Raw genomic sequence first — 20,461 nt, forward strand, 5'->3', positions numbered from 1 at the left:
GCTTCTCAGCCAAAATTGCAATGCCATGTCCTTGGGTGCTATCTGAGTTGTAGAGCACCTTCACTCCAAAAAGATTACGGTGCCCACCCCTGCCACGTAACAAAGAATGCAAACAAAACATTTAAGTCACAAATCGTTTAAAGAAATACCATAAAGGCTACTTAAAAGCTCTATAAAATAACAAATGACAAAAAATTACTTAAATATTTTATAAAATAATATCAAATATTCCTTTCCAAAAATGCGTTGCCTTTGCTGCTTGTGCTTAAATACTAATTCCAACACAGAAACTCAAAGTAAGAACTAAAGGCCTATCTGTAGATGTCCATACTATAGTTTGAAGAGCTTTAGGGTCACCCTTCAGAAGTTCTAAGTCAGTAAGAAAGTAGTCTCAAAGTCAGACATTCAAGCCTGATGCTGGAGAAAAGCCAAGCCAGAGGAGGTGTTAAGTTTGTGGGTAGGCATATGCATCTGCACTTATAGGATGATCGGATGGGATTCCACCTTCAAGTCAACAGTGGGGAACAGATTTCAAAGAGCCTATATCTCCAAAAGGGCTTGAATTTTTGCCATCTCTTCCCAAGCTGTTGGGGAATAAACACAGGAATAGACGGTAGCAATTTCCATGGGTTGCACATCTCCCAGTGGAAAACTACCAGTGATAAGAAAGTGTTGGTATTCAAGGTGATCTTTTTCAAAAGCTTAGCTTGTATTTGGTATAACAATTCAAGCAGCAAAGTGATTTGATTGTTTCATTGCTTGTGGTGGTAGACTGAATTTTCTCATACATGGATCGTGCCTTCTCAAGACACAAAATCTCAATTTTGGAGATTTCATATTTTGGCCAAGGCAAGAATACAGAGATAAAAAGAGCTTCCTAAAGATAAATTATGTCCTAAAATACCAAATATGCTTATACTTAAAAAAGAAGCTTTTAATAGAAAGTATAATTTACTCCAGTTGACTACAAAACAAAAACCTTAATAAGTTCTAGTTGTTCACATTTAAAATTAGAAAACATTTTATATTCTAGGTTTAATTTATTTCGAAGTATTACAAAACAAACTCTTAAGCTCATAAAAAATTCTTTAATAATCTCTATCATTAAGTCCAAAATAGAATTCCTTAATAAGCCTTATGGTTGAGTTCATAGTATTATAATACACAAGGCATATTAAAGTCAATATTTTACATTCTGGATAATTAAATAAAATTCTAATTATATTCCATTTAAGTTGGGTATAATGTGTATTTTATATTACATTCTGGCTCTAAAAAAATAGAATCAACGTACGATTTACATATATACAATTTTCAACTAATCATAAAATGTATTTATCTGTAGCATCCCAGTTTCAGGACACAGTCTCAAAAAGGTTTGAGTTCCAAGGAAAATTTAAAAGGGAAAAAAATTAGAGGTGTTCTACCTTGGTTGTTTTTGTTTGCCATGTTATATGCAAACAGAGAAATAAAGAGATGCTACATCGAATGCAGCAAAAATGAAATTTTAACCAAGCTTCTTGACAAATATTGAAAAATTGAATGATGTTACATAACTATTCAAGGATTATTTATTCAGCTCAAGTAGAGAACAGTTTTAGGTGAGTATAATTCCTTCTGTACATGTTCAGAAATGAACTTCAAACAATAACTGCTTTATTAGTTTCAAATCAAGCTTTCATTCAAATGCAGAAAACATATCCGTTGTTTAGTCCGACTTATAATAGCTATCAACTCTTTTTCTACCAAAGGTTCCCCTCTTCTCCCACCTCATTCTTTGTAAGATGAGTAAGGAGACTTTTAAAAAATGTTTGGATAAAATTCATTTTGTCTATCATGCAACACAGGGAAAATATCAGTTAATTAAAAAGAAAAAAATCTTTGTAAAGTTAAAAGACCCTATAAGTTAATGAAATATTCTGAACTTCTGAAAATTTTTGACAAAATTTATTATATTCTAAGTAGCCTTTTTGGAAAGATAACTAAAATAATATCAATCCTCCATTCACACACAACAAAATAAAATAAATTTAACTGGGAATTACATTTTAAATTATTCTGTTTTTAATGTTTTGCTCTCAATGTACAGTAATATTTAAATGATTTATGAAGAAAATGAAAAATCAACTTAGCATACATTTTTAAACCTGTGTTTAATTAGAACTTTTTATCTTTGAAGTGTATACTACTTTTGTCAACAATATGATTTTGTACAATACAGAATTAATAAATATTTGGAAAAAGATAATTTTTCTGAAATAAAAAAACATAGGACTCAGAAAAATATAGTCTGTTTTGATTTTGCATTTTTACTTGTATATCTACTTGCTGTATCTTTCTAAAATCATTTTAAGACAAAATTGGTCTGATAAACTTTCTTGCAATTTTGGTGTTCTTCTGGTATTTCAGCCTCATATTAGCTAAGCACGACTTCAAGGAAGATCAAACGATGGAGGACCTAAAAACTAAGTCTACCTGAGGAAACTTTTCCTATTACTTCATATAAACTTTCTGGTTTATTTTCAACGAAAGGACAGATGAGATTGTTTGGGGAGGTGGGGGGCATGTGTAGCTGGTTCGGGGTTTTTGTGTTTGGTTTTGTTTTTGTTAGTTTATTCTTAGAGCACTCTTTTACTAAAGTCACCAATATAATTCACATTCTTTTAATAATGAAAAACTGCTTGTGCTAGTTTTATCTCATGAGAAAAAACACTGTTCCTAAATCAAAAGCAAAATGTTGTATGTTCAGAGCTATATGAAGACAGCCAAGTTATAAAAGCCCATTTTCAGATCTGGAACAACTTCTGAAAACAAAGAGGGTATTTGGGATACCTTATGCTAAAGAAAAAAAAAATCCTGCTTTCATTATTTCCTGATTCTGGAGATCCAATAAAAACTTTATGGAATAAAAAGTCTTGCAAAAATCCTTCAGTGAAAACACAACCAACCACTCCCACCCCCAACCCCCTTCTAAAGTAATGAGAGTTGATAAACTATAATTGCAGTATGGAAATTTTTACATTTTCTTATGAGTTTTAAAAGAAAGATTAAAAGGTTCATTGGCTTTTCAAACAGCAATTATTTTAGCACCTAAAAGATACACAACTAAAATATATGCGTATTTATTTTCAAAGAAACACCAACAAAAATTAAAACATTGGTGATTAGGTAAATACTGATGACGCCAATATAAAAGTATTTGCCACTGCAAAGGGCCTAAGCACAATCACATCTTGTCCCGATCATACCTGCCTGCCAGAACAAAATAGGCAGCTGACCAATTATGGGGTGTTTATCTATACAGTGGTACCTTTGTTCTCCAACAATGTCAGATTGCAAATGTCCTGGAACACATATTTACCTGGAGGATTCTTGGCAGGATCATTGTGGCTTGGACTTCCTGATTGTCCAGAATCTGTAAAGAAATCACAGAAAATGTTTTCTTTTTAATTTGTTTTGAAAGAATTTCACAATCCTCAAAGGACTCGAAAAAAAAATTTGAAGGTATAAAAATGAAGTTGAGTGCTTAAATAAAATACACTTTCCCAAGACTTTTGATAGAAACATTTTACTCATCAAACTACATGAATGCATATACATATTTCTATGTCAAAAGAAAAACACAAGTATTGATCTATAATTTTCTTGGGCTAGAGCAAGGTTTTTTTGAAACAAAAGATCTGGCTACAAAGCCATTGAAGATGGTTTGAAGGTTAGGCAAATATTGAGGCCTGTCAGTAGCAATATGAAATAAAGCAGATATATTCTCTTAAAAATGCAATCTAAGTGTAATTAAACGTGCATTTAAAAGCCTGAAAGTATGTTTTTATTCAATGAGTAAAATACACAGAAATGAGAGTCCGCTTTTCCATGATTTCACACACAAGTACACATACCCACTCCAATAATCTCCCAACCTACTGGATCCAGGCCCAGATTTATCTACATCCCATAATAGCAATCGATTTGCAAACAGCAAGGAAAGCATAAATTACTAGGTAGAAACCAACATGGCTTTGTGGAGAGCAAATGGTTGAATCAATTTAATTTCCATCCATGACAGATGGACAGACTTTGCAGGTAAGGAGGAAGAGATCAATGTCGTATATCTGAATTTCCTACCCCATACTATTCCTCATTGATGCTACAGAAAGAAACGTGGAAGACATACAACTGTTAGGCAACATGCCCTTTCGGACTGATCTGACACTGTTGTGTTTTGCTCACTCCTCTTCCCTCCTTGTACCCTCTCCATTTATCTGTGTCATTTGCCCCATATTATTATACACTTACTTGCGAGTTGCTTTGTAATCTTCTTTTATTGGTTCTAGCATTTAAGTTTTGTCGCCCCAACTAAATTGCATACTCCTAAGCAGAGGCAGAGATTCTGTCTACTTCTTTTGTGTCCTCCTCAGTGTGCTGTTCATGGCTGTGAATGCACTAGGCTTGCAGTAAACGCCGGAGGAATGGATGGCTCAGCTCCAGCAGCCTCTTTGCTTGCCTAGAAAAGGCAATTTTGAACTTGATAATGAATTTCAACAAAATTTGATAGGTGGGGCACAAATGACGGCTCTGTCATGTACTGCCATATACTGACAAGTCTCTTCCCCCAAACCTTGCCATTATACTTGAGCCAAGAAAGTGATTTGGTTAAGCAGGAAAATCATATGCTGGTTTTTTTCATCGGGGTTATTCTGTCCTTCCAGGTAAGTGATTAACATACTGAAATTGCTGCTTCTACTATTAAATGCAAGAACATCCTGTTAGTTTCTTCTCATATAAAACCTGGTTATTTATTTCTGCCCTTTGCCTCATGCCTGTTAGCTTAGATTTAATGCTGAAATCAGAATTTTACCCCTTCATCCCATTTCCTTAATTGTCTTTTTGGTTTTATTCTAGAACAGATTTCATGAGATCTTGGCAGGCATATTTAGTGATTCCCACATTTTCCTCCAATTGTTTCCTGATTTTTCAAAATGAAAGTAAAGAAACTAGAAATGACCATTCTTCATCTGGCTCGAGTCTCCTGAAGACAGTCAGAGAGCTGAGAACTCTCTGAAAATCTCTCTCATCTCCCATGAAGTCCTCTTATTACTTTTTCTGAAATCAAGGCAAGATTCAGTGACTTATAAATTAGGAGATCAATCTTCTTCGTTCTACATTCCTTTAAAAAACTGGTACAATATGGGCCACTTTCCAGGCCTGGAGTATGATAGCTACATAAAAATGATAAATCATAACTTTTTGCTATAGCATCAGCTATTTTTACCTTGAGTTCCTCTGACAAATGTCTCTCAGCATTGATATTACATTCCAGTTTAATTTCTCAAGCGATTCTAACATTTTTTAGGAATTCCTACTTATGTATAATACACCCACTGACCAGAGCCTCCCTATGTTTTACTTTCCCTCCAAAGCTATCTCACTCTTATGAAGGTCTAGACATGCACCCCTCAAGGTGGCTAATGCCAAGCTTGTGATGACACCTGAGATAGTTAAAGTTGTCAATTGTTGCAGCAGTCGCCTTATTTCAGGAGTTGTAGACTCTGCATGAGCCTTAGCATGTTTAGTTACAGCAACTTCAAAATGGTGCCGCAAAACTCTTTTCCATCATCTGTTGCTAAAATTTGGGTCCAGCAGAGAAAAGAATGAAAAGTCTCTTCCATTCGTAAGAAACTATCCAGCTAGAACAATGGCATCCCCTGTTACCACAACATCCCACTTGGGAAACTCTATTCTTTTCTGCTATAAATTACTTTTTCTTCTCATTTCCAACAACTGCAGACCAACTTCTTCGATTGAAAAAATATACTTACTAAAAAAACCACAAGCATTTGAGGGAAAGCTGAAGTAGACCCTAAATTTGAGGCACACATTGGCTTTTTGTAACAATTCCACTTTCTAAAATGATCTGGTGTTTACTGGCACACAATGACAGACTCCTTCATATGCCAAAGCCCATACCTTCTCATGAAATAAAGCAGTGTATACTGTGTCTCAGAAACATAGGAGAGGGCCCTCTCAGTGAGCAAATGATAGAGCATTTACTTTTCAGACTGTAAATTCTAACACTATAATCTACTCTTAACTCTTATGTCACCTTATATCGGTCACTTAATTCCAACTGCTGGAAAAGGAAGTAACCAGGGAGTCGTGGTTGGCAGAGAAACCAAAAATGAACTGTTATTGTGGTTGACTTCAGAGAAGGAATTATTCAGACCACATCTAAACCCCTTCCAATTCACCACCTAGGTCAAATTACTCTATACCCAAAGGTTTTATTTAACCACTTCCATCACTTTGCTCAACACCCCCCACCTCTCTCTCTCTCTCTCTCTCTCTCTGTGTGTGTGTGTGTGTGTGTGTGTGTGTGTGTGTGTGTGTGTGTGTGTGTATTTAATATGTTACAGTGAAGCCTGGCTCTGTCCCTCACTAGTGACATGATCTTGTACAAAATTACTTACTCTTAAGAGTCTTGGTGTCTGGATCTTGAAAACTGCAATAATATTATCTACCTTGTAAAATCATTGCAAGATTCTATCACATTAAGCACCAAAAGCATTGGGTCAGACACAGTCTACATTATCAGTAAATAAAAGATATTAATATTAAGCATAGAGCCACATTTAAAATGATTAATATATTTAATGGTTTAAACATATTAAAATGAAAAAATTAATCATTTTTAATGTGGCTCTATGCTTAATAACAACTAACTTTTAGGAAGAAAGGGAGAAAAGGGACATAACTAAGTTCTGTCCATCCCAACACACGCATCTGAAAATGACTGGTGGGATGACTAAGCATGGAGAAGTGTGTGCCTACCTGAGAAATCCTGTGTAAATGCTTTCACCCCTCATTCCCCAAAAGGGAGGAGTCCACTGCTCTTCAAGGCTCTTAGCAGCTGTCATGCTCAAAAGGCAGTAGATACCAGCCAGTTGATGAAAATTACCTTCCAGAAGGCTGAAGTCTTTGAGGAACAAGGCTGCTAAGAGTTGTGAGCTGCCCAGCATACTGGGTCTGGTGTCTGGGAAAAAAAATTTTTTTTTTTTTTTTGAGACAGAGTCTTGCTCTGTCACCCAGGCTAGAGTGCAGTAGCACTATCACAGCTCACTGAAGCCTCCACCTCCTGGGTTCAAGCCATTCTTGTGCTTCAGCCTCCCGAGTAGCTAGGACTACAGGCGCACACCACCACACCCAGCTAGTTTTTGTATTTTTTGGTAGAGACGGGGTTTCACCATGTTGGTCAGGCTGGTCTTGAACTCCTGGCCTGAAGCGATCCGCCTACCTCGGCCTCCCAAAGTGCTGGGATTACAGGTGTGAGCCACCACACCCAGTTTAGTGTCTGGAAAGATTTTGATGCAGTAGAGAAAAAGAGAGGAGTTTTTGGAGGCAGCCAACCAAAACCAGTCCTCCCTCATTCTCTTCCACCTCTCATTTTATCTTCCTCGATCTCAATCTCTATTTTCCCCATTCTTTAAGTGTGGGTTTCATGTTCCCCATTCTTTAAGTGTGGGTTAAACATATGTTTATTCTTCTAAAAAAAAAGTAATGAAGTTATTTCTAAATTACTATATTTTAAACTCAATCAGTTCCTTCTTCTCCAGGTTAAAGATTCTCCAGGAACAAGAAAAGGTTCACATTCATGCACGACCCTTACCAACTTTTCAATCCTTTCGTCCACTCCTTTTTTAAAAGCGGTCAATCTCTCGTGGCTCTTCTAATATCTAAGCTTACCTAAGGAGTGAGCAGTTTTTCCTATGACCCAATTTTATGGAAGATCCTAGGACACATAAGTGATCAAACGGCTTGTCCAAAGTTGCATAGCAACTATTAAAACTTATGTTCTCTATATGGACAGCCTATTCAGACACAATACTTCTTGAATCGTTATGATGCAATCCTAAAATAATGCGAAGCTAAATGATTTTTCAGTAGTTTAAATGTTTCTGGGAAACTTACCTTCCCCTAACCTCCCTCACCCTTCCCACCATTCACCAATACATTCAAAATCTTTTTCAGAATCTTTTTTTAAACCTTTAGCTATTTTCTATATCTAAGTTGGAAGCAATTATTAGTATCACTGAACTCTATATACTAATTGACGTTTTAAAGAGAGGCCAATTCTATAAATCAAATTTGTCTCCATTAAGCAAAGGAAATTCTAATGTTTTATGGACAATCTGGTGGAAGCTCTGTAAGATGTGTGTTAAATATATATGACAATAAATAAGTAATAGCCTGTAAAGTATTTCTTACTGAGCACTAACTTTCTGGAGTAGATACACTGCAACTATCTGAGGTAGATAAATCATCAAAACTGTCAAATTTTTTTTGTAGGTCATTAATGTAAACATCATTTAAATGTAAATCAATTAAGATTTATGCTCACGCCTGTAAATCCCAGCACTTTTGGAGGCTGAGGCAGGCAGATTACTTGAGGCCAGGAGTTTGAGACCAGCCTGGCCAACGTGGTGAAACCCCGTCTCTACCAAAAAATACAAAAAAGTAGCCAGGTGCGGTGGCACACACCTGTAATCCCAGCTACTTGAGAGGCTGAGACATGAGAATCACTTGGACCTGGGAGGTGGAGGTTGCAGTGAGCCAAGATCGGCTCATGTATTCCAAACACCTGGTAATGTTTGGAACACAGTAGGTGCTCTGTAATGCTTATTAAATTTATATTTAATTTACAATAATGACCTTTAAATATTGTTTTAAAAAAAGTATACTCTATGCCATGTAGAAGCTCAGAGGCTGCCTGAAGAGACAGAAATATACAAATAAAAAAATACATAAATCAAGAGGGGACAGATGATTCTTCCTAGGAAAGGTGGGCAAGGGCATATCATAAAAGATATCAAAAGAAGGTGACCTTAGGAACAATGCCGTGAAAAAACGACCTGATTTCCCACCTTTCTAAGACATATTTCACTCTTTTACCAAGAAGATCTTTATAAGACCCAAAACTGATTAAGCTAAACATCTGCTAAAACCTTTACATATATTCTGAAAATAGTATGCCATTCATGGCACCTTGATCTGGTCCCCATCAGCACCTGGGTCATACTTTAGCCTTTGGACTCCTTGTGTGTCTCCTGCATTTGATGTCTCCAAGTCTGTGCATAATGTTCCCCCTTTTTTCTCCCTGAAGTCCCCCAGGGTGAGGTCATCCCCTTTACATCCTCAACAATATGACACGAAGTCTATTATTGCCCTATTTAGCCTTATAGCCCTAATCTTTGGGATAGGGCCTGGCACATTTGGTTAAGTCAAATGAACAGAAAACCATCAGTCTATAAACTATAAAAGTGCACAAGAAAGAAAGACAAAGCATACCGCTCTGTGTAAAATCATACAGTAGAAGTCAAACAGATAAATTTCTTGTGGCAAGCCAGGGAAACAGACACACAATTCCCAGGGCTAAGTCTCTCAGTCTAATGTAAGGCTCAATCCTACTTCCCAACTTCCTGAAGAAATATTTGGAAACAAGATAGGGTGGATAAGACATACTATTTTGAGTTAGAAATTATTTTTTGTCCATCTCCTATAAAGAGAAGAAATGTTTGTTGAAGGTCCATGTCCCTACTTTGCAAGCACTGAGGCAAGAAAGTTTTAATGACCTTTATAGATAAACTTTCTACTCCTAGATGAAACTTCTTTTAGGAACTCTTTTTATTCTCTGACACCATGGCTTGAGGATCAACAGAAAAAGACAACTGGAAAAGCATAATTTTAATTTATAATGAGTTTGGTGCAAAGAAGGAGCTGTACAAGGTGAGTTTTCAGGTCCCCTGTGGCTCTAAAATTCTATGATTCCATAACAATATAGCTTTTATATCAAGGGATATCAGAGGAGTAAATGAAACCCACAATGTAACCTGTTAACCTACAGATAGCCTCTTGCTAGAACTAAACTTAGTCATCCTGTGATAAAGGGCCCTTTTGTCATAGTTCTTTGCCTTAAGCAGGTGAAGAAATAGCCCATTGTCAATGAAAGAATACCATGAGATTTTTTTTAAGGCTCAGAACAGTCTCTTTCTTTCTCTCTAAAACATTATTAATTGATAATATAATAAAACAGTATATTTTTACAATTAAATATATAGCATGCCAGAAACAAGACGTAACAGGTAAGAAACAAAAGCTTGACGGAAGGAATACAAATGCATGTATTTTATAGTAGGGAAATAAAAAGGTAAAACAAAAACATCTATATTATTAAGGGTAATGGAGAGCAAACTATTCTCCTTGGGCCAAACCTTCTTCTCTCTTCCCCTCTCTCTGCCCAAAGTTTTCTACCTCACTCTTTGCAGTTTACTGTCTCCCATGACTGATTCCTTGGGATTTACAGAACACTAGCTTTCCATAATCAAGTTTCCTATTACATAATTTGGCTTTTTTTTTTCCAGCACAGTTAAAACACCAGGCAGCTTCAGTTTTAATGGAAGGTTGCTTCATTGCTTTGGGTGACACAAAATTATAGTTCTACATTATTTTATTTTCTCTCTATTAGATGTGTATTAAAATAAGACAACGAAAGAACATGGGAAAACTGAGTGTTTTCCTTGCCTCTCATAAGCATGTAAATGTTTGGGAAATGGTTTCTCTCTCTCTCTCCCTCCTTCATTCTTCGCTCCTGTGTGTGTGTGTGTGTGTGTATGTGTGTGTGTGTGTGTGTGTGTGTGTGTGTGTGTGTGTGTGTGTGCCTGTGTCTCCCTTTATCTCCTGTCTCTCTCTGCTTCTGTCTCTCTGTCTCTTTTCAATAGGGCATTAAATTATTTGGAGTCCACTTCACTGCAAAACTTAACTTAACAAGCTGTTCATGAAAAGTTTTAACTTTATCACTTTGTTAATGGAATCCCTGATCTTGTTTGTTGTTTGTTTGTTTGTTTTTTTAGTGAATCCGTACTCCTCCTAAACCCAGTTCTGAGCAATAAGAGAAATTAGACCTCTCTGAATATTTTGGCAGAACCAATATAATATTTGGGAGATGCAGTTTCCTGCATATTTTAAACTATTTACTATTTCAAGTATGAAGACCTATATCTTCAGATCCCTCTTTCTGTTGTTTAACATTGATTTTAAAATATACGTTTGATTTAGCAAAACGCATAGTTTAAAAAGATGTTGCTACACTTAAGATCTTCATGATAAAGTAATTTCATTAACCAAAGAAAACTACAGAACAAGAGAGTAGATATACGATATATCCTGTTTCATTCCTGAACATCCCAGTTGTTTTATCATTAAGCTTTCTTTTAAAGAGCCACTTTTTTGCTTAACAAGGAGATTAGGTACAAAGAGTCATATCCCAAGGATTAAAATAAGGATTTGTTAGCGCTCAAGACTGAAATTTGTCCACAGGGAATTAACTGAAAAAATAGGCCACTGAAATTTAAGGTGGAAAAAAAATCATATTATCAAAAATCATATATCAAAAAAAATCAAAGCAAATCATTCTACCACAGGGGACTACTAATGAATCCCCTGCAAATATGAAACCCTGCACAAAAAGTGTTAAACCTGCCAACATCTCTGACCAGAGGGCTGTGGTACTTCATTAAGTAGTACCAACCCACCCCCCACAACAATGGGAAGCTAGGATAATCATATCTGACCTTTCTGCCCTAACCTAAGATTAAGTTCAATGACTTCCTACTGATCTAGGGATTGAGTGAACCAAAGGTCATAATCAGGATCACCTACAGTTCTTGCTTTTGAAGGCTTTAACCTACAGAATGCAAAAACACCGTACTGGTCATTGTCAAGATTGCTGACTTTCTACAGTGTGTTTTCAATTAAGTAAATAAAATGTGGTAATTAAATCAAGATTGCATAATATGTTTTTGATTTGTAATCTTATTTAAATTAATTAACTGACTCAATCCTTGCTTAGTTTTTAAACTGGTCGAGTTAGGGAAAGAGTCCCTGGGAGCAAATCCAGTTTTCTATCTTTAAAAACAAGGCAAAGCAATCTGGCATACTTAAAAATATACATTAAATGCACCAGCATAATATAAATACAGAGGCAAGGGTGCTAATGTAGAGGAGGGAAGAGTTTTATGGCACGATTTTGACTAAAAGAAATAGCTCTCGCACTAGAGAGAAATAAACTAAAACATTATTTATTCAAAACATTTCTTTTCGAATTTTATGAAGATTGCATATTTGTTGGAAGCAAAACATTTCCAGCTGTATTTTAAGTTTCTGAAGAGGGTTGTAAGATTTATAATCTTTCATAAATGCTGCCCATATCTTATAATATTAGATGAACACGCCACTGCGTACTTTGAGGAACAATTTGCCAACGCAGTTTGCCACATGAAAATAATAAAGTCCTTTCCAAAACCCAGCCAGATCCAGTAGGAAAAGATGAGATGAATGTTCTTTCTTTTCCATCTGGGAGACATTTTGGATTTCAGCTATACTATGTAATATACATTTTTTCCCCTTGGAAACCAAGAAACCTGCATTTTACAACAAGGTATGTAGTGCAAAGAAAATGCTGGTGAAATAAGAATCTGAAAATGAAAACCAGAATGTCATCAGACTCAAGAACATAATCATGAAGGCAAATCGAAAAATCAATGCAGAATTTCAACATAAAACAAATGCAATGTTTATGATCCTATTAGTCTTAAATTTTTCTCTTAAAAGGAAAGCATAGAAAAATAAGTGCTGTTTTACCTCCAAAGTCCTGAACAGCATTTATGTTACTACCTAGCACCATGACTTACATATCTGGTTTATCCTGGAGTCTTCACGCATTATTCTAAATCCCACACATACAACACTCCTGTGTACACATGGCCCCTCTGTGCTATGTCACTTCATGTATTTTCCCAACACTTAATATATCTAGGTTAAAATCAGACATAAGACTTTCTAATATTTCATTGGCAATCTTTCTTCTCAGGGAGCAGGACATGTTCTCTCCAAACTGCCTGGAGAGTCAGGACTCTGGGCTCTATCCGGCAACTGCCAAGCACTAGCACGCTGACTCTAAGCAAACCATTTCACGCACGAATCAGTTTTCATCTTGCCCAGTGGCAACTAGTTAATGAAAGGTAAGAGTTTAGTCTTAGTTGTTTTCAAAGGAATTAGAAATACTAGGAAAAAAATAATTTCACACAACAGTGAAATATGCACAAGTATTTTTGTGGAAAAAGGCTATGAGATATATATATTTAATGTTCTTTAAGGTTTAATTAGTACTCCTCCTCCCCCTCCTAAAAAAAAAAAAATCCCCACCTACTTGGTTGCACTGCCCCTTGCAAACGCTGACAACACAGGTAATTGAAGGGCTGGGTTAGAGTGCAACTCTTCTGCTACATTTTAAAACCCATGGGGTCAAGAAACATGTTAGTCTTATTCACTGCCCTAGCATATTCCTGGCACATACTAGATGCTCAATCAGTATGTGTTGAATGACTAACCACTGTTTTACAGAGAACAAGATGATGACTGGTAGCAGTTAAAACAGTTCATCTTCCTTAAATTACAAACAAACTGCCAGTAATACCAATCATAACTTTCAGTTTTTGATTATTATCTACACATATTCTAATTTTTAAGTTTCTACAACCTCTCTACAAATACAAATGTAGTGATTGACTCAATGACCAAAAAGTCATATTCTTATTTTTTCATTGCTCATTTTTTCATAGGCATATGTTCCTAAAAAATTTTTTAAATTGGATACAGATTTCTCTATCATGTTAGCTAAAAAGATACTTTGCCAAATCATTAAAATGTTTATGTTTATATCCTTATGTGAGCTTAGAGAGAAGAAACTGGATGGGTTTTTTATATCTTATGTTACTTACATGTGATTAATAACCAGTCCTTGTTTTATTATTAAATTATGGCTCTTAAGTCTGTGATACTATATTCATATAAAAATAAATGTATACATTTAAACTCAAGATGCATAGCAATTAACTGGATAACAGAGTAAGATGATGCATAGCCTACTTTCTACAAAGGTAAAGTAGATTTGTACGTGGGGTATTCATTACTGCTTCTGTTCATAAAATAACTTTATCAAAATATTAGAGGAAAAAAATCAGATAAGTCATCTGATGAACAGGAAGCTTGCTGATGTGGCAGATAATAGTATTAAATGTCCTAACAGTTCCTTGATAAGTGGTTCAAAGAACTTCTGTCCCCATGTTTTCAAGGCAAAAGTTAATATACCAGGAATAAAACTACTTGAATAATGCATCATTGAACCAACATTTTTGAAAAGGGATAAAATGAGGAAACAAATGAGGAGACAGTAATTTCCTCTTGCAAATTAAAACTGTGCAGGCAAAGAAAGGAACTCAATTATACTGATAAAATAAAAACAAAAAAATAGCTGACATGATTTTCCTTTTTGTAAAAAGAGAAGGTCAAGAATATTCTAATAAGTGAAATAATGGGTTTGAAAGAACTTTGAAAAGTTTACAAGCTCACAGAGACATGAAGATGGGGCATTTTATGGGGCAATATTCTTTCAAACAGTCACTTAAAGAGAACAGTTTAAAATACAGATAATCCTGGCCAGGCACGGTGGCATATGCCTTTAATCCCAACACTATGGGAGGCTGAGGTGGGTGGATAACCTGAGGTCAGGAGTTCAAGACCAGCCTGGCCAACATAATGAAATTCCATCTCTACTAAAAATACAATAATTAGCTGGGCGTAGTGGTGGGTGCCTGTAGTCCCAGCTACTTGGGAGGCTGAAGTGGGAGGATCACCTGAGGTCAGGAGTTCGAGACCAGCCTGGCCAACATGGTGAAACTCCACCTCTACTAAAAATACAATAATTAGCTGGGCATAGCGGTGGGTGCCTATAGTCCCAACTACTCGAGAGGCTAAGGTGGGAGGATCATCTGAGCCCTGGAGGTTGAGGCTGCAGTGAGCTGAGATTACATCACTGCACTCCAGCCTCGGTGACAGAGTGAGCCCCTATCTTGAAAAAAATAAACAAAAATAAAAAAAATACAGATAATTCTAACCAAGAATAATAAAGAATAACAGAAGCCCACCATGAAATCTACTACTCATCACTATGGTTATTTGGGAAATGGGAAAATAAATGATGACGGGCATGTTCACTTGCTATATCCATTTTAAAAAAGGGAACTGAGAGTATACTGGTGCAGAGCTATGTACCAGGTGCTCAAAATTCCTCCCATTTTGTCTTGTTACTCATTTTATCTTTAATAGAGATTCAAATCAATTCCTTATGATTCAAAAATGCCTAAGCCAAATCCAAAGAGTATGAAAAAATCAAGGTTCTGCATAATGTCCCATCCATATGCCTTAACCCTGAATGATATCAAACCTATGTAATCTTAGACATCAATGCCTTCCAGATGTGACAAAATTTTAACACAGACCAACTTCAAGCTTTTTACTGCAGACTCATCTCCCATGCTCATAAAGATTATTTTCATTGCACGTACCATTACATATGGCTAATGTTTAATTTTCCAAATTGATTATTATGCTGCCATTTCAAAACTGACATTGCCTTCCAATCCAATCAAAAAACAAACTATGCTGCATACTCAACCTCCAACAAACACATACACAAAAACAAGAAATCACATCATTATTTCCAAGTTCTAGATAGTGCTTGGTTACAAGACCAGTTGAACTTTTCCTTGTCCACTCTTGGTACCTCCAAAAGATGGAAAAGGGGAAGGAGGGATCATCCAATTCTTTGTCAGAGTTAATTGCCATAGGAATAATTTGAGCCTGTCACCTGTTGTTTTTGGTCTTAAAGATTGCTTCTAATCAGACAAGATCAAATTCTTCTTGACATTTAAAGCATGTTAAAATTCTAAAATTAACTAACAAGATTGTTCATGGATATTTTGCAAAACCATCTAACAGCAAGGCCATGACAGAAATGTATAAACTAAATTTTCAGATAGGATTTAAAAAATTAGTAACTCAACACCAGTAAGAAAAACTGGTGTGATAAAGCTTTGGATGATATTATGCAAACTTAATTCCCCTGCCCCAAACAATTGCTTTGAATCTTACCTAAATCTCATCCCTCCACCCACCCCCAAAATTAGAATTGCCCTGTAACGGTAACTTGTCCTCAGATCCATCCTGAACTCTGTTTCTGCAAACCACCTTTCCCAGCTCCATTAACTATTGACTTCAGGCTAGGTCCAACCAACAGGAGGCAATGGTAGGAGTTTGGGAATTTGGAGGGTGGGAAGAAAGGAGAAGGAGAGGTATTCCTTCCCTCCTCTGCTTTGACATTTGTCTCCAAACAGTGGTGAGTTTTCCTCTTGTGATTCTTGCTTCCACTGAACAAGTTCCTCCCTCTGTGATGCCCTCCCTTCAGGCAGCTCCAGCTCAATTTGTGTAGTAGATTCCTACTGATGCTAATGACTGGGTGACCTCACTGCCCATTCAGCTTTTCATCTATTCTAACATTACTGTAACTGGCCTTGCCCATGAAATTCCTCCTATTGGACTATCTGGTAGTTTATTTTACTCAAATCTGACAGATACATTTGTTTTTTTGAATTTGGCATATCTGTCACTCTAAAATACGTGTCAGGTAATAGAATTAAGCAGTATTAGACAAATATAATAACTTTTTTAAAAACCAATAGATTTCACGTGTTTGTTATGATTCTCATCTTTTAAAAAAAAGATGAGAAAGCACTGCCACCATTCAGTACTAAGTACAAAATTCTGTATCCCAAAGTTTTTTGTAATGCATACTGATACATAAAAATAATCAAGTTTTTAAAAAAGGCAACTAGATGCTCAATGCCATGTTCTAAATATATCTCTTCCAGGAGGTCTTCTGATAATCCTACCCATCCATCCAAGTTTACTTCTTCTTTTTATCATCTCCTAGTCTCTCTAACCAATTTTTAACAAGTTTTTTCTTGTGCATGTGTTTTTCCTTCACACATGACTGTATGCTCCTTGACTGGAACAATTATAAGTTTGATTATTTTTGTAAAATATGATACATTTACTTATATTTCATGCCACAAACAACTTCGAAATGCTTATCAATTGTCGGAATAACTAACAGTCTCATGGGGATAATCAAAAGGTTTTCTTAAATATGCACCACTATACATCAACGTAAGAATAATCCCTAACAGGAAAGAGAAATGACTTCAACATTACTCTGTTTCCTTTAGGAAATGGTTCATAAGTCCCCACTGGACATGAGGCATTTTACATAAGAAAAATTACAAAATAAGACAAAAGTATTTTTCCCATCAGAATAGTAACACTCTATAGTGTTTTGCTAAAACACTCTACGAACAGGAGAAAACAAAAATATTTATGTTCATACGCACAGGGATATATATGAACTCACAGTACCAAAACTTTAGAATCACATATGCAAACAGTACCAATATACTTAATGTTTTAAACTGTGCTAGATAACAGCCCGGCTAGAGGCAAGTGACATAACGGAAAAACATACAGCATCAATTCACATGTTGCCAACTTTTTTTGGATAGAACTAACAGGATGACACTGGTGATGGATGTGCACACTTAGCTGCCAGCATTGCACCCTATGCAATGTCCCTCTACATCCTCTCTCTCAATCATTTTGAACCCCCACCCCCAAGATTTATTTTATGTCTCTTTTTAAAACATTATTTTCCTAGTTGGTGACAGTCACCACCAAACATCATACAGAGATCATTTCAACTGAAAATACATGTTTATTATTTTTTAAGCCTGTGCCTGAAATGTATTTTAGTCAATCTATGCCACATAAGGCAAACTTCTAATGCACATTTATGAATTTAATTCAATAAATATTTACTGAAAAAAGAAAATGGGTTGGAGTCTAAATAGACATAAAGTGGCCATGAAGTAAGTCTAGCAATAACTTTCACTTTTTATGTTTTCCCACCACCCTTTACTTTCCCCAATGAGAAACTTATAGTGTGACAGGTAAGCTAAGAGACAATCTCCATAAATATGACAGCAGACATATTGCACAGACACTAAAAACCATAGGAATAATGCTGAGACCACAAGACAGAAATAGCCCTTGACTTTTTCTCGTAATGGCAGGTAGAATGGGTGGGACAGGGAGCCTAAAGCCAGATAGGAAAACGAATCCAACTTTTAACCAAATTTTTTATTACACACATACTATTTGAAACTTAAACTTTCATTCTAAGTTACAGTCAAAAAAGAAAAAAGACAATAAGAAGAAATAAAAATTATCCCAGTTCTTCCAATGTACTGTATATGTATATGCTATGATTTAAGAATTATGCCATAGGAATAGATAATTCAATTAAAGCCAAGATAAAACAAATGAGATACATTATACTAAGCAGATAGCAAATTATGATATAATTTGGCTGAGAAATAGGTTGAAACAGGCACTATCTTAGAAATGGGATGACAGCAAAGAACTAAGCTCCACCTTCAATGTATTTGAAGGTCTGTTTGGAGCCAATTTACACAAAATATCCACTTACCAATTTCACAGAAGATAGAACAAAATAACACTGAGATAACGTATTAGGAAATTATTTTTTAATATTGGAGGTGCACTCTACCACCTCAATCCAGCACACATTCTCTCTCTCTCTCTCTTTCACAAAAGAGAAAGAGATCCCGTAAGCTTCTCCACAATGTTCTATACCTGACCCTGGAAGGAAATCCTATTCTTCTAGGCTTGCTTAAGCCAATAAGGTCCCCAGAGAATGCTAACTGGGGTGGTTATGTGCCCAAGAATTGAACTGAAACCATTAATTTACTTCATAGGACCAATCAACTGGCAAAAGAAGTTAAAAAAAAACAAAAAACAAAAAACTTTTGGTAGAACTGACCTACAGAGAATTTAAACCGCCAGAGATGGCAAGGTTTGATGTTACAGCTTCCTTCATCCATCTGCAAAGCTCTGTCACTACCTAATAAATGCACAATGCTTCTCTCTCCTGTGGTGCTTTTAGGAAATAATGCTTGTCATTTTCCATCTTATTGACAAAATATTGTATTTTTTAGAAAACTCCATATCTAAGGAATACTTTAATGAAATAAAGATGGGTTAAAACATCAAGCTAATTTTGTGAGCACACGAAACAGAGAAATAATCTCAAAGAAAATGATAAATTCTAATTTTTATTTGAAAGTATAAAGCACATATGAGACGACTTTTATTGTGTTGCCACTTCATTCTTGTTTATTTAGGTTTCTTTATTCACTGTCGATATAAATGACTGCAGTGAAGCCAGGATTGCAGACCAAATCTGAATTTGGAAGTTTGGCTACAGCAATCTGGATCCCAAAGCCAAAGCTTCCTCCTCACATTAGACTCCCATTCAAAGCTATCACTGTGTTTTCAAAGTGACAACACTGTTCAACTTTCTTTTCACAGAGCAGGAATCTTTTATGGCATTAAGGGTATGTATGTCACACCATGAAAAACACAATGACATTGCAAACATAGACAAAGGAATCTAGTAAGGGCATTGGGAGGAAAAAGGGGGTGGGGTATTTAAGAAAATGTTTTTTAAACTTTTTTTTTTGCAAAAGAAAATGCATAATAATAAAATAATAACTGAAAGTTCCCTATTAATATCATCCAGCAATTATTAAAAATAGAATAAATTAGCTGATATGATCCAATCACCTGGTAGGGAACAGCATGTGTCTCCTTAGTCCATTGGCAGTGCTAATGGTGCTCCTAAATGAAGGATTTTTTTTTTCTATGTTCACGCTGGTTGAACTTAATTTTCCGTTCACCTGTTTACCTGGATTAGTTTTCAGCTTAACATTCATTAAGCATCAAGACATAACAAGAGGTGCAGTGATGATGAGATAAAAGTCTCAAGGCCATTACTCCTCCCATGAGGCACTCAGGGAGGATCTATAAGTGAAAGATAGCTTCACTCGCTTGGGTTAAAGTGAAAAAATATGAACCCACTCTAGAACTTTGAAAATCAAAGAGAGCTTTAAAAAGCCGTGTGTTTATGTTTTGCCTAATTTTTCACTTTTTCTCATTAGAAGGCAAGGTCTGACTAAATGTGGGTTATTTCTGATATCTCAGCTTCTAGTTTGCGGAAGGGGGTTCCTGTTTAAGGGAGGGAATGCTGCCACCCCCTACTCTCCCCAGCAGCAGCACACTGGACACCTGAGAAGCCAAAAGCGCTACACCAAAATATACCACCTTTAATCACAAATCAAACAACAGTAATTAGGAGCATCAAGTTAATTGTGTCTACTCCCCACAGAATGTGTCCTCCAAGGCTCCTTGAAATCAGGTTGAAAGATTAGTAGTAATTTTACTCCCAATTCTCTTATTCTAACTTAAAAAAAAAAAAAAAAACAGAGCCTAAGTTCATCACTCCTACCCTCAGAACTATGGAGTCTACAAGTAAAACCTTAAAAAGAAAAATCAGACTACTTAATTAAGTGTTTTCTTAGGCCGTTTATGTAATCAGAGTAAC

At 35.9% G+C, this 20,461-nt stretch overlaps 1 protein-coding gene across 32 annotated transcripts in view; it reads right to left on the bottom strand.

Moving 5' to 3' along the window:
* The window catches only part of NFIB (nuclear factor I B), a 450,235-nt gene that overhangs the window by 94,523 nt on the left and 335,251 nt on the right, over positions 1 to 20,461 (bottom strand). For 29 of the 32 annotated variants that reach the window (NR_161383.1, NR_161382.1, NR_161384.1 and 26 more), the window contains one exon: positions 3,362 to 3,415. The exons of 1 other annotated variant lie outside the window; for it this stretch is intronic. Coding sequence is in view for 26 of the 31 variants with exons in the window: in NM_005596.3 (NP_005587.2) it covers positions 3,362 to 3,415 (54 nt within the window). In the remaining 5 variants the exon portion in view is untranslated. Of the gene's footprint in view, positions 1 to 3,361; positions 3,416 to 4,293; positions 4,440 to 20,461 lie in introns of those variants that run through there. 2 more of the 32 variants (NR_161385.1, NM_001282787.2) reach the window with 1 other exon arrangement.

This window comes from Homo sapiens, chromosome 9 (assembly GCF_000001405.40).
Source record: "Homo sapiens chromosome 9, GRCh38.p14 Primary Assembly".
NCBI classification, from domain to species: domain Eukaryota; kingdom Metazoa; phylum Chordata; class Mammalia; order Primates; family Hominidae; genus Homo; species Homo sapiens.